General features: G+C 40.7%; 2 protein-coding genes across 3 annotated transcripts; both read right to left on the bottom strand.

The window, feature by feature from the left end:
• Positions 1 to 837: 837 nt before the first annotated feature.
• On the bottom strand, positions 838 to 1,812 carry OR52I1 (olfactory receptor family 52 subfamily I member 1). Its single transcript, NM_001005169.1, has one exon. It carries the CDS (start codon positions 1,810 to 1,812, stop codon positions 838 to 840), a length of 975 nt encoding a protein of 324 aa, NP_001005169.1.
• A 698-nt stretch (positions 1,813 to 2,510) lies between these two features.
• Positions 2,511 to 14,108, bottom strand: OR52I2 (olfactory receptor family 52 subfamily I member 2). 2 transcript variants are annotated; one of them, NM_001405760.1, is made up of 2 exons: positions 13,987 to 14,108; positions 2,511 to 8,979 (listed from the first exon to the last, which is right to left on the bottom strand). In NM_001405760.1, the coding sequence occupies exon 2, from the start codon at positions 8,958 to 8,960 to the stop codon at positions 7,986 to 7,988; it is 975 nt and encodes a 324-aa protein (NP_001392689.1). In that variant the 5' UTR covers positions 8,961 to 8,979; positions 13,987 to 14,108; the 3' UTR covers positions 2,511 to 7,985. The 2 variants fall into 2 exon arrangements, with proteins under 2 accessions (NP_001392689.1, NP_001005170.2); NM_001005170.4 differs by lacking the exon at positions 13,987 to 14,108 and having other exon boundaries at positions 7,946 to 9,060.
• Positions 14,109 to 15,261: the final 1,153 nt, after the last annotated feature.

Genomic DNA, 15,261 nt, shown 5'->3' with positions numbered 1-15,261 from the left:
GGGACTAGGAAGCAACAAGAAAGATTTCCAAAACCAAACTTATATTAACTTAGCTTCTGTTGCTTAAAAACAAAAAGCTGGTAATTGGTTCACTAACTCCAACTAGCTTAACAATAGGAGATACATTTAAAAGTTAAGTGGTATTTTACAGAACATAACAATATACCTGGGTGTCCAAAGTGATTTGGAATCAGAGAACCAAGGACTTATTCTCTTCATCCGTTCTTGGTGATTGGCTTTTGATGCATGGGCCAATCCCAATTTTCTCCTTCCAGTTTATGTGTTGTAGAATTACCACCATCTCTGATCCCAAGTTTATATCTCCCCAGATGAACAGTAGACCATACAGCTTGGGAAGGACCCTGGTCTAGGTGTGGGCATTAGGACCCAAATGGAGTGAGATCACTATTGGGCCAGAGGGCAGGGTCATATATTAATAGCTTCTTCCATGTAATCACTTGGAGGAAAGAACAGTTCTGAGAATATCAGTCAGGTTAAGGGGAAGATACCAAACAGTTGGTCTCTTCAGCAGAGGGGATGGTAGGATATTAGGTAGGAAATATAGGTCAGAAGCTATAGAAGGAAAAATTACAGAGCTGTATTCTATACCAAACTTACTCTGATTCAGACACTATCATATTAACCCATTAAAAATGTCAGAAAATTAGAAACATTTCATTCATATTATTGGTAGAAATTTAAAAGTTACACAAAGATATCCTTTATAGCTTCATCTCAGATTTCCTTATAGTACCAGGTAAACCAATCCAGCTCCACAGATCTCTGAGGCATCTTTGAAGTTGGCTAGAATGCTCTGGATCTGAACAGATATTGTGTTCATGAACCCAGGTTGGAGTGGTCAAAGAGGAAGTGCATCAGATAACTCCATATTCCCTCCAGCAATTGTTTGGTCCTCATGCCATAGATGATGGGATTTAAAGTGGCTGGGATGATCACGTACAGGTCAGCTAGCAGCACTTGGGTGTGCAAGGGCACTATATCCTGCCCCAACCAGGCCGCATAGATGGATGCCATCCCAGGTAGATAGTACAAAGCCATAACCCCCACATGGGAGCCACATGTGCTTAATGCTTTCAACTGAGCAGTCTTTGAGGAGAGATCAAATACTGCCCTGAGAATTAAGATATAGGAGGCAGCAATGAAGGCCACATCAGAGCCCACCATAAGAGAGGAACCAATCAGACTGTAGAGACTGCTGGGCACGGGGTCAGCACATGCTAACCTGGCCAAAGCTATGTGCTTACAGTAGGAGTGGACAACCACATTGGAGCCACAGAAAGGTAGATGATTCATCATCCAACTCAGTGGAGTCATGAATGTGACAGCTCTGATGGTGACGGCCATACTCATTCCCAGCATCACTTGAGGCGTGAGAATTCTCTTGTAGTGTAGAGGCTTGCAGATGGCTACATAGCGGTCAAAAGCCATGGTCAGCAGCAGCCCCGTCTCCACAGCTGTGGCTAAGTGGACAAAAAACATCTGAGTGAAACAAGCACTAAAGCTGATGGAGCTGTCTCCCGAGCAGAAGATGCTCACCATCTTGGGTACCACGGAGGAGGCCATAACAATGTCCACAGCAGCCAGAACACACAGAAAGCAATACATGGGCTCATGCCGAGTGGAATCCATCCAGATTGCAGTCACGATGAGGGTGTTTCCTAACAGGGCTGTGATGTACATGGCACTCAGTGAGATAGCCAGCCAAAGATGTGAAGATTGCAGTCCTGGGATACCCACAAGGAGGAAGGAGGCAGGGGTTTCCATTGTGTGGTTGTAAGCTGGACCCAGCATCACAGGTGAGACTTCTTGCCTATTAATGTATAGATGATGTAAGAGAATGGTGCAGTCCTATAAGATTAGTTCCTCTTTGTGGTGCTGGGAAAACCTAGGGATATTCTCAGCTTGGTGGTATGGCAGGATCAGAAAAATGACTTCTAATACTGTGCTACTTTTCATCCTCCTTACAAGTTTCTATTCATTGTTGAAGGATCAGCTCGTGAATTCCTTCCTTAGGGACTTGTGTTCTGCTCTCTTCCTCACCCAACCCCATGCCCAGGTTAAGTTAATTACCTCTTTTGCAGTTTCCTGAAATCTCCTGTAGGGACTAAATCGACAATTCCAGTACTGTATGAGTTTATGGTATTCACTCAAGTGCCTTATAGGAAGATTGTGATCCATAGCTGTGGTCACAAGTCACTTGAGTGAAGATATATATACTCATTACAGTAAACAATTTCCACAGAAAGAACGATTAACAGAGGAAAGAATGACTTATCTCTGTGTGCTGTTACTAAATGTTGAAACCAGAACTTCTTGAAAACAAACATCACATTTTATATGCTCAGCATATTGCATAGACAAAACATAAATTCAGCATTCTTGTGATTCATGAAGTACGTTAGTAAGTTCAGTAAAATAAAACCATTAGAGAATAACATTATCACATTTTACAGGTGATTATAAATTATCTATAAATAAATATAATCCTTACCTTCTCTAAATTTACCCTGGATCCTATTCACTTTGGTTCAGTTAATAGATTAAATTACTACAAGGAAAATCTTAGGGTTACCTTATAGATGACCCCCCCTCCCCAATAAGTTGTTATGGTTCTTTAATACAACTAACTCCCTCTTCCTGATAACCAAGATGTTCCAAACAAGAAAGCTTTATCCTTTAGAAAGTTAAGCACTTTATTATTAACACAGTATGTGCCAGTACTATGTTAAAAGTGTAGTATTCATAATCTGAGTGTATTTCTCCATTTGTAATATAAGACAAACATCCATTCCATACAACACAGTTTGTATAACTTAGATTAAATATTCTAGCCAAGATCATGTAGTACGTGTGTGGTAAGTTTTGGGTTTAAGCTATGACTCCCAGGTGTCCATCCAGCCCAACATAAATAGTCAACAAGACAACTATGGATAAAACAAGGTTAGGGGTTTCACTTGGCCACGTTTGATGAGACAAAGATAGCTACTGCTGTGCACAGCCAGCAGCTGAGCTCTACCACTTGTTCATCTCTGTTTATTGATGTATTCACCCTCCATTGCCTCATTCAGGTGTTACCATATCATATAATATGTAACAATCTAAGTGGGGAAACCTGAATATAAAGAAGTCAGCATTAACTACCATTCTATTCCTGTGTGATAGCTGTTTAGTTACTCTCTCCTTAGGATGATTGGTTTCCATGATTTCATATTCATATGGTGTTTGGTCATAGGCACATTTTCCCTGCCATCTGAGAAGACTCCTTACAAGGGGAGGCTCCTTCCTCTGATGTTATCACCTAGCTTTTGGAGACATTGGTTAATCTTCTTCATGGAACCCCTAGATTCTATTTCATCAGAATAGAGCGTACAAATCCTGCATACTTTTGTGTACCCTACTCAAAATATGTTATTGGTCCCACATCATCAAAGGGCAGGATAGCAAAGTGGCAAAAAGCATCGGTTCTAGATTCATACTCCTAGACTGAAAACCCTACTCTATCGCTTGCTAGCCATTTTGCATCAGTCAAATTATGTAACTCTCCAAGCCTCAACTTCTTCACCCATTAGAGTTAATAATACTTCACAGAGATATTTTGAGATTTAAGTGATAAGCTATGTAAAAGTGCTTAGTGTAATGCTTGGTACATAGGTGTTCAATAAAATATAGCTATAATATAGTAAAACAGAAGACGGTTTTCCCTGCCTGATTCTATACTTCTAGATTGCTCCAAATAACATCCTTAAATGGGTGTATGTGATTTGAAGACCACATTTACAAAGTAAAAAGCAGCTCATCCTGCATTGCCTGAAGAATTTCTCTTGTCCTCCCATGAGTTGCCACTGAAGATGTCTCACCCAGTGGCTGTGCACAACAAGTTTCTCCTCATTGGACTATGATAAGAGCCCACTATCTGTTCCATTATAGGTCAATTCTCAAGTTTAGGATTTTTTGTTTGCTTTGTTGCTATTTTTTTTTCTTCATCACACTTGTGAAAAAGTTTTCCTTAGTTTTTCCTACAACCCATCTCTAATAAGAAAGCCAAGCATAGCTCACATTTCTGCTGCCATAAAACAACTCTTGCCAAACTGAATTCAGATTAAGGATAGAGTGGAGGTGGGTATGAAAAATATTTTTTCCAGGCTAAATTAGTGCTTCAAATATTTTTTCTATTGTTCTCAGATAATTTTCTTTCCTTAGGACGTGGGCATATGCCTTTGTCTCAGACCTGGACTTAGAATCTCAAGTGTAGACCAGACCATATTAAATACAATTGATCTCCTTCCTAAAACCCTCATCACCCTAGTATTGTATCTCAAGGGCTCAGCCTAATGAGTCACCACAGCAACTGTGTGATTTGTTTTGACATAACAGTAGTCATATATCGCTCAAGAACTGTTTCTTAGGTGTTCACGCAATCTTAAATGAAAGGTGCTCATTTGCCAAGCCTCAAGACCAGCCTGCTTTAACTATCGCTTCCTGTGCCTCTCCTGAAAAAAAGGACTTTCATCGTGAGAAGTTACCATATCCTTACCCTTGGATACTGTCTCAAGCTACCTCTTTTTACCTCTTGTCAGGGTTCTGGCTCCTCTCTGAGTAGTGGAATAAATCAGATTAATGGAATTCTGTGCCTTGATCCCATCTGCTGTGGTACACATTTTCTCTCTTAGCCAAGCATTAGGTGAGCATTCGTCAGGTTCTCAATCCTAATCCTGGGACATACATTTGCTCCTTCAGTTCACCTCCTACAGAGCCTAGCACTGATGGGCTCCATAGTTAGGTACCACCAGCAGCTGTGGTAAAGTCCTCAGGAGTTTTATTTAAAAAATCAAGTTTTGGAGACATGATTACAGACTGTGATCTATATGAAACAAACCAAAAATAAAATCCCTGAGCTTAAGAAATACTATATCATGGCACAGATTGAATAAATTAGTGATATCCACATCATAATCAGATTATAAAAACCTTGCTGTGTAGCTACTGGGTGAGACATCTTCAGTGATAGATCATGAGAAGACAAGGGAAAGCTTTTGAAGTAGAACGGTAGTGAAGAGTGAAAGAAAAAATCAGGGTATGCTTGAGATTGCCGCATGTGTTCTGGATGCAACAAACTCAGACTTGTGCATTATTGCATAAAGGGCTGCATAAAGCTTGAGAATCCAAACAGCCTCTTCCCCACTCACCTCTGATCCAGAATGTTCCTCCCCTGGCTGCCCTGTTTAAATTCACCTTTCTTCAAGAGGCAGCCTCAGCTGATGCTGAGGCCTCAGCCCTGGAAGCTCTAATTGGGCATACCTTTCATGCCCTTGAGAGTGTTTTTCTTTTTAATCTCCATTTACGTTTCTTCTCAATTAGCGTTGCTGGAGATTTACATTGTCAGTCTTTGCAAAGAACAGGACACTCGGTTTGGTTAGTTGTTTCTTTCTACAAATATTTATTTCAATCAGCCTATTGATACTGAACATTGTTTGGCTAAGATTAACGTTGATCTCCATCAAGCATCTGTTGCCAGTCCAGTAACTCTTTTTCCTTTTGTTTTACTTGACATCTCCAAAACATTTAACACAACTGCCTGCTCCCTGATTTTTCATTAACTTTTTAAAACACTATGAATATAATGGGAAATGCACAAATCTCAGATAGATAGCCTGATAAATATTTATTATGTGAACACATGAACACACCTACATAGGCACTACTGAGGTTAAGATACAGACACCAGTGCCCTCTGGTTGTTAATGTTTACTGTTTTCAGAAAGCTCTGGTAAGTTATCCTAAGATCTATTTTCAGCCCTGCACCTGCCTTTGCCTTCAATACTGTGGGGATATTCACATGCAGACCTGGAGAGCCAATTACTTAAAACTAGCACAGAAAAGTCCCTTAATTTCAACAACTCATGATTCACAAATCATAAGATATGGGAGAATGTTTCATTTCTATTAAAAGAGTGAGGAATACATAATTCAAAATGAAAATGTCTTAAAGGTAAAAGAACTAAGGCATATGCATTTGAATCAAGCCTTTCTGTTTATGATAACCCTTTCTTCCTACCTGGATACTTCCCCTCTTCAGCCAAACATGCACCCAATCAGCCCTACTACTGGGTTTTTTTCCTCATAACTGTTCTTAGTCCCATAAAACTGTCTCTCCACCATGCCAATATCATACCTACCCCTTCCTCTCTGCTTTCAATTAATTATATGTCCCATTCTCTCTCCCACCTTTCCTATCCAAATATCATTTTCATACATTCTTGGTATCAGTAATACCCACCACACCTAGACAGCCCTGTATAGGAAGAGTAAAGGCTTATATTTTCTATTCTGGGGTGATCTGGCCTTCAGACTCCATCAGCCCAACACTAATGCCCAAGTCAGTTACCCACAGTCTGAGAGTTTTCTCTGTTTAACTTTCTCCAATGAGTCCATGCCTCATAGTCCACATTTCTTTCACGCAAAAGAAGAGGGGTTAATACAGGATACCTTCGGAGGAGCAGGAAGTGCAAACACAATCAAATACGAACAAACAATGGAGAGTCATATTGTCCTTTCCAAAGACTTCTCATTGGGGCCCTCTTTTCCCTCTGGATACTCAATCATCCTGCCTTGTCCCTGGACACCCACCTTCCTTTGGCCTCTACCCAGCAACCAAACATTGCTACTCCTCAAGAGACTGGTTTATCTTTGTGCTCTGGCCCCTGGGGATTTCCAGATAGCAGGAGGAGGCAGATGCTTACTGGCTGAAGAGTCTGTTTCTTCAAGTTTTCAGAGGATACCTAAAAGTTAGACTAAGAGTATAAAGTGTATCCTGAAAGGAAAACAAACAAACAAACAAAAAACCATGATAGGTAGGATTTGTGAAAGTTCACTAAGTGCCAGGCATCATAACAAATGCTCTTTTCAAAGATTATCTCAGTCAGTTTTCAAAACCTCCTGAAGTAGCTGCCATCATCACATCAACATCTTATAGATGAAAGCTGAGGCTCATAAAAGTCACAAAGCAAGTAAGCCAGAAAGTCAAGAGCTAAATTCTAATAACCGTATTTCACTTCACTTTATGGTAGAACTATTCACACTGACAGTGTACTTCATATCTCAAAGTCGAGTTCACATTTCCTCAGTTCTGCCTGGGGACTCGGGCCAGGTTTCACTGGTTAGATGTTTCCCATGACGCTGTTATAGCATCCTGTTGAACGGAGAAGGGAAAGAGGATGTAGGGGAGGGCAAGGAAGATGAGTTTTTCAACTGGAGATAGGGCATGCACCTGAGCACAAAAGTATGAGAAGGGACATATTCTCCAAATAGAGGATAAACCAGAGGCAGTAGAGTCAGGGGACTTGAAAGGGATTGAAAATACAAGAGGCTAGAGGGGTGCATGGGGCCATGTTTTAAAGTTCATGTCTTCTGCCTGAGCATCATCTGTGGAAAGGAATAAAGTTGGCAGAAAAGAGTCAACAGGCACAAGCTATAAAGTTTCTAGTGTTTTTCTTTTTAATGGCGAAGGGTAGATAACTATTTGGAAGTATGAAAAACTAAGAAATAGAGTTGCATGCTCTCAGTTCCCCAGATCCTAAGTGGACACATAGCTGTTCATGAAGAGAATGGTGAGCGGTCTTTGTTGTCTTTCATTTTAAGAGTTGGTGAGGCAGGAGCAGGAAGAGGCTTTGTGCCTTCCTCAGCCTAACCTAGCACATTCCTAAAGAGCAGGGAAACATAAGTTCAATCAAATGTGTATTCTCTACCAAAACTTGTCTCTGATTCAGATACAAGTTGATTGAATCCACTGAGAAAGCCCTCAGAAAATCAGAAACATTTCATTCACATTCCTGCTAGTAATTGAAAAGTTATGCAAGGATATCCTTTACACCTTCATCTTAGAATTCCTGTAGCACCAGGTAAACTAAGCTCTGCAGATCTCTAAGGCATCTTTGAAATTGGCTGGATCTGAACAGATATTGTGTTCATGAACCCAGGTTGGAATGGTCAAAGAGGACATGCATCAGATAACTCCATATTCTCTCCCGCAGTTGTTTGGTCCTCATGCCATAGATGATGGGATTTAAGGTGGCTGGGATGATCACGTACAGGTCAGCTAGCAGGACTTGGGTGTGCAAGGGCACTACATCCTGCCCCAACCAGGCCGCATAGATGGATGCCATCCCAGGTAGATAGTACAAAGCCATAACCCCCACATGGGAGCCACATGTGCTTAATGCTTTCAACTGAGCAGTCTTTGAGGAGAGACCAAATACTGCCTTGAGAATTAAGATATAGGAGGCAGCAATGAAGGCCACATCAGAGCCCACCATAAGAGAGGAACCAATCAGACTGTAGAGACTGCTGGGCACGGGGTCAGCACATGCTAACCTGGCCAAAGCTATGTGCTCACAGTAGGAGTGGACAACCACATTGGAGCCACAGAAAGGTAGATGACTCACCATCCAACTCAGTGGAGTTATGGCTATGATAGCTCTGATGGTGATGGCCATACTCATTCCCAGCATCACTTGAGGCGTGAGAATTCTCTTGTAGTGTAGAGGCTTGCAGATGGCTACATAGCGGTCAAAAGCCATGGTCAGCAGCAGCCCCGTCTCCACAGCTGTGGCTAAGTGGACAAAAAACATCTGAGTGAAACAAGCACTAAAGCTGATTGAGCTGTCTCCTGAGCAGAAGATGCTCACCATCTTGGGTACCACCGAGGAGGCCATAACAATGTCCACAGCAGCCAGAACACACAGAAAGCAATACATGGGCTCATGCCGAGTGGAATCCATCCAGATTGCAGTCACGATGATGGTGTTTCCTAACAGGGCTATGATGTACATGGCACTCAGTGAGATAGCCAGCCAAAGATGTGAAGATTGCAGTCCTGGGATACCCACAAGGAGGAAGGAGGCAGGGGTTTCCATTGTGTGGTTATAAGCTGGACCCAGCATCACAAGTGAGACTTTTTTCCTGTTAATGCACAAATGATGTATGAGAAGAATGCAATCCCGTAAGATTTGTTGACACATGTGGTGCTGGGAAAACCTAAGGATATTCTCAGCTTGGTGGTAATCTCAGGATCAAAAATGTGGCATCTGACAAAATTATCCTGTACCACTTTTATCCTCCTTAATATTCTTCCCTTCCAAATTTGTATTCATTGTTCATGGATCAGCTCATGGCTTACCTCCTTTGGAAAGCCTTTTCTGCTTTCTTCCTTCCCCATTCCATACCCTTTCATCTGAGCTTTCATACAATCTCCCATCGTGACCTCAGAGACTAAATTGATCATTGTAATGCTCTCCCTAGACTTTATTGTGTGCATTAAGGTGTATGTCTCTTGTTTATGATCTTATACAAAGGGTGTAATCCATAACTGAGGTCACAAGTCTATTAAAAAGAAGTCTATTAATATATGTTTATTATGGTTAAGTTTCCACAGAATGAAGGATAAACAGAGAAATGAATCTGTCTTTCATCTCTGTACGCTCAGTTACTAGTTGTTATATGAACAAAAACTTCCTGAGGTCAAACATATCGTATTTTTTATCCTTGGTACAGTGCCTATAAAAAAATATGAAAGAAGTATCCTTGTGGTAAAAGAAATACATGAATGAGTTGGGAAAAATAAGATCATTAGAGAACAACATAATCAGCTTCCATAGGAGATAATAAAGTACCTGGAAATATAATCCTTACCTTCTCTAAACTTTGCCCTGAATATCCTATTTACTTAGGTTCAATTAATAGATTAAAATACTACAAAGAAAACCTTGGGACTACCTTATAGATGAACTTTACCCAGTAAGCTTTTATGATTTTTCAATGCAGCTATTTTTTCATGATAAACTACCAAGACATTCCAGGCAACAAGGAAGCTTTATCCTTTAGAAAGTTAGGCACTTTATTATGAACATAGTATGTGCTAGTACTATGTTAAAAAGTGTAGTATTCATAGTCTGAGTGTATTCCTTCATTTGTAAAATAGATCAAACATCCATTCCATACAACACAGTTTGTATAACTTAAATGAGATTAAATATTCTAGCCAAGATCATGTAGTAAGTGTGTGGTAAGTTTTGGGTTTAAGCTATGACTCCCAGGTGTCCATCCAGCCCAATATGGATAGTCAAGAAGACAACTGTGGATAAAACAAGATTAGGGGTTTCACTTGGCCAGGTTTGATGAGACAAAGATAGCTACTGCTGTGCACAGCCAGCAGCTGAGCTCTACCGCTTGTTGATCTCTGTTTATTGCTGCATTCACCATCCATTGCCTCTTTCAGGTGTTACCATATCATATAATGTGAATAATCTGGCTGGAGAACCCAAAATAGAAGTAGTCAGCCTAAACTGCCATTACAGTCCTGCGTGGTAGCCCTTTAGTTACTTTCTCCTTAGGATGATTGGTTTCAATGATTTCATATGATGTTTGGTCACGGACACATTTTCCCAGCCATGTGAGAATACTCCTTGCAAGGGGCGCTGCCTCTTCTGGTGGTAACATTCAGCTTTGGGAGACATTGGCTGATCTTCTTCATGGAACCCCTAGGTTTTTTTCTTCAGAATACAGCCTACAAATCCTGCATACTTTCATGTACCACACTCAAAATGTGGTACTGTTCCTACATCATCAAGAGGCAGGATAGCGAAGAGTCGAAAAGTATTGGTTCTAGATTCATACCCATAGACTTAAAAATCCACTCTATCACTTGCTAGCCGCTTTGCCTTAGTCAAATTATGTAAACGCACCAAGCCCCAGTTTCTTCATCCATAAAAAGGAGATAATAGTACATACATCATAGAGATATTTTGAGACTTAAGTGATAAGCTTTGTAAAAATGCTTAGCATGATGCATGGTGCTTAGGTGCTCAATAAAATGTAGCTAATATAAAATGAAACTGTTTTCCCTGCATAAATCCCATACTTTTAGATTGCTGCAAGTAGCATCCTTAAATGGGTGTGTGTGACTTGAAGACCACTATTAAAAAGTAAAAAGCCACTCAACCCACATTGCCTGAGCTTTTCTCCTGTCGTCCCATAATCTACCACTGAAGATGTCTCAACCACAGGCTATACGCAGCAAGATTCTTCTAATTGGACTATGATGAGGAGCCCACTATCTGTCCCATTATAGATCAGTTCTCAAGTTTAGAATTTTTGTTGTCTGCTAGCTTGCTATTTTTTTTTGTTTCTTCATCATACCTGTGACAACCGTCTCCCTTACTTTTGCCTACAACCCATCTTTAATAAGAAAGCCTAAGAATGGTTCCACTTCTGCTGTCATATAACAACTCTTGCCAAACTGAATTCAGATTAAGGAGTGGAGGCAAGTATGACAAATATTTCTTTTTCAGGCTAAATTGCTACTTCAACTCTTTTTCCTATTGCCATTAGATCATTTTGCTTCCAGAGAAATGGACATGTAGGTTGGTCACAGACCTGAACTCCAGATGCCAAGAATGGACTAGAATATGTTAAGGACACGTGATCTCTTTTCTCAAACCCTCATGGTTCTAATTTGTATCTCTCAAGGCCTCAGCCTAGTAGTTCACCACATCAATTGTGTGATTTGTGTTGACGTAACAGTAGTCATATATAGCCCAAGAACTGTCTTAGGTGTTCAGGCACTCTTAAATGATGTGTGCTTATTTGCCAAGCCTCAAGACTAGCTTGCTTTGTCTATTTCTTCCTGTGCCTCTCCTGAATAAAGGGTTTCCATAGTAAGAAGCTGCCATATCCCTACCCTTGTATACTGTCTCTAGTTTCCCCTTTTTAAGTTCTCATCGGGGCATCACTTCTACCTGAGTGATGAAATAGATCAGATTAATGGAATTCTATGCTCAGAATCCCATCTACTGCAGTAGACATTTTCTCTGTTAGCCAAGCACTAGAGGAACATTTACCAGGTTCTTAATCCTAACCAAAAGACATATATTTGCCCCTTCAATTAACCTCCTAGAAAGCCTAGCACTGATTGACTCCACACCCAGGTGCCAACAACAGCTGTGATAGGAGTCCTCAGTTGTTTTCTAAAAAGCCAAAATTCTTGGACATGATTACAAACTGTGGTCTGTATAAAAGAAATAAACCTACAACAAGAAGAAAATCCCTGAGTTTAAGAAATGCTATATCATGGAACAGATTGAATAGAGTAGTGAGCTCCACATCACAGTCAGTTTATAGGAGCTCACTGTAAACTGCTGGGACACTGGGCGAGACATCTTAAGTGATGGATCACAAGAAGATTAGGGAAAGCTTTTGAAGTAGAATGGTAGTAAAGAGTGAAAGAAAATTCAGGATATGCTTGAAACTGCCGCATGTGTTCTGAATGCCACAAACTTAGGCTTGTGCATTATTGCATAAAGGGCTGCAGAAAGCTTGAGGATCCAAACAGCCTCTTCCCCACTCACCTCTGATCCAGGATATTCCTACCCTGGCTGCCCTGTGTAAATTCACCTTTCTTCAGGAGGCAGCCTCAGCTGATGCTTGCCTCATCCCTCCTCTCACCAGCCCTGGAAACTAACTGGGCATACCTTTCATGCCTTCGAGAGTGGTGGGTTTTTTTTTAATTCTTCATTTACTTTTCTTCTTAATTAGCACTGCTAGAGATTTAATTGTTAGTAATCTTTTCAAAGAACAGGATATTTGATTTTGTTGGCTGTTTCTTTTTAAAATATTTATTTTACTCAATGTATTGCTACTGAAAATTTCTTGGCTAAGATCAAATGTCATCTCCATCAAGGATCTGTTGCCAGTGACTCTTTTTCTTCCTGTTTTACCAAAACATCTCACACAACTGCCTGTTCCTTCACTTTCTGGTTTTGTTTTTGAGCCATTATGGACATGCTGGAAAATGCACAAATCTCAAATGTTCAGTTAGATGAATAATTACAATGTGAACACATGAACACACCTATGTAGGAACAAATCAAGATATACATACTATTGCTCTCAGGCTGGTAAGGCATACTGTTTTCAGAATGCTCTGTCCAAGTTCTCCTAAGACATATTTCTAGCACTGCACCTGCCTTTGTTTTTAATCCTGTGGAAACATTCACGTGCAGATCTGGAGGGCCAATCACCGAAAAGTAGCTTTAAAAAGTTCGACCGGACATGGTGGCTCAGCCTGTAATCCCAGCACTTTGGGAGGCCGAGGTGGTAGGATTGTCTGAGCTCAGGAGTTCAGCCTGGACAACATGGCAAAACCCCGTCTCTACTAAAAATACAAAAAATTAGCTGGGCATGGTGGCGAGCACCTGTAGTCCCAGCTACTCAGGAGGCTGAGGCATGAAAATTGCTTGAATCTGGAAGGTGGAGGCTGCAGTGAGCCAAGATCATGCCACTGCACTCCAGCCTGTATGACAGAATGGAGACACCATCTCAAAAAAAAAAAAAAAAAAAAAATGAAAAATAAATAAATATAAAAATAAAAAGTTTCTTAATGTCAATAACTCATGATTCACAAAGCACAAGACCTGTGAGGATTTTTCATTTCTATTAAAAGAGTGGGAAGTACATAATTCAAGTTGAAATTGTCTTAAAGGTAAAAGAACTAATGCATAACTCATTTGAGTAGAGCCTTTCCCTTTATGACAACCCTGTGCCTTTTCCTGAGTACCTCCACTGTCCAACCAAGCATACTCCCAGTCACCCCTATTGCTTGGATTATTTTCTTATAACTTCTCTTGGTCCCTGAAAACTGTTACTCCACCAGCTCAAAATTGGACTTACCCTTTCCTGTCTCTGCTTTGAAGCAAAGTAACCATATTTCCGTTCCCTCTCCACCTCCCTCATCCAAACATCATTTCCATAAGGTCTTGATAGCAGATATACCACCAGACCTAGACAGCCCTATATGGGAGGCATGAGGCCTTATAACTTTCATTCTGGGGTGACCCAGCCTTGATGTCAGGTCATCAGCCCAACATTCGATCTCTATCAGCCCAACACCTGATTCCCAGGTCAGTTACCTACATCCTTGGAATCTTCTCTATTCAACTTTCCCTGATGGGTTGATGCCTGGTAGTCTACATTTCTTTTACTCAGAAGAAGAGGGATTTGTACAGGACTCTTCAAGAGGAGCAGGAAAAAATGACACAAAATCAATGAACAATGGATAGTCATGGGGAGAAGTATTTTCTTTTCCAAAGAATTCCCATTGGGAGCTCCCTTTTCCCTCTGGATACTCTATCATCCTGCCTTGTCCCTGGACACCCACCTTACCTTGGCCTCTGCCCAGCAGCCAAACACTGCAACTCCTCCAGAGACTGCTTTTTGTGTGTGTGCTCTGGCCCCTGGGGCTTTCCAGATTGCAGGAGGAGGCAGATGCTTAGTGGCTGGAGAGTCCTTGTTTCTTCAAGTCCTCAGAGGATACCTAAAAGTTAGACCAAGAGTATAGAGTACAAACTGAAGGAAAAAAGAAGATCCAATATTGGTAGGATTTGTGAAAGGCCACTATGTGCCAGGCATCCTAATAAATGCTTTTCAAAAATTAGTCAGTTTTCAGAATCTCCTGAAGTAACTGTCATCATTGCATTGACATCTTATAGATGAAGCCGAGGTTCATAAAGGTCACAAAGTTAGTAAGCAAGTGAGTTTAAGATCTAAATTCTGACAACCATAAGTCACTTTATTTTATCGTAGAACTATTCACACTAACAGTGTACTTAATATTTCAAAGTCCAGTTCACTCTTCCTCGTTCTGCCTGGGGACTCAAGGTAGGCTTTGCTAGTTAAATGTTTCCCATGACACTACTATCATGTCCTATTGAATGGAGAAGGGAAATAGGATGTTGGGGAGAGCAAGGAAGATGAGCTTTTCAAATTGGAGATAAGAAATGTGCCTGAGCACAAAGGTATGATAAGGGAAATGTTCTCCAAATAGATAATAAACCAGAGGTGGTAGAGTCAGGGGCCTTCAAAAGGAATGAAAATACAAGAGGCTAGAGGGGTGTATGGGGCCATGTTTTAAAGGTCATGACTTCTGCCTGGGCATCATCTTTGGGAAGAAATAAAGTTGAGAGAAAGAAGTCAACAGGCAGAAGATATAAAGTTTATTGTATTTTTAATGGCAAAGAATATATAAATATTTGGAAATATAAAAAATCGGGAGACAATGCTGCATATTCCCAGTTCCCCCAATCCTCAATGGAGACATAGGTATTTATGAAGATAATGGTGAGAGGCCATTTGTTGTCTTATTTTGAGGGGTGATGAGCAAGGAGTGGGAAGAGGCTTTGTGCCTTCTTC

Source organism: Homo sapiens, chromosome 11 (assembly GCF_000001405.40).
Source record: "Homo sapiens chromosome 11, GRCh38.p14 Primary Assembly".
In the NCBI taxonomy this organism is placed as follows: Eukaryota; Metazoa; Chordata; class Mammalia; order Primates; family Hominidae; genus Homo; species Homo sapiens.
The sequence above is the reverse complement of the archived record's forward strand: the minus strand, read 5'-3'. Positions and strand labels throughout refer to the sequence as shown.

What these genes read in the sequence shown, in the direction of transcription:
- OR52I1 (NM_001005169.1), bottom strand. Translation starts at nt 1,812, where the DNA reads ATGCTGGGTCCAGCTTACAACCACACAATGGAAACCCCTGCCTCCTTC.
- OR52I2 (NM_001405760.1), bottom strand. Translation starts at nt 8,960, where the DNA reads ATGCTGGGTCCAGCTTATAACCACACAATGGAAACCCCTGCCTCCTTC.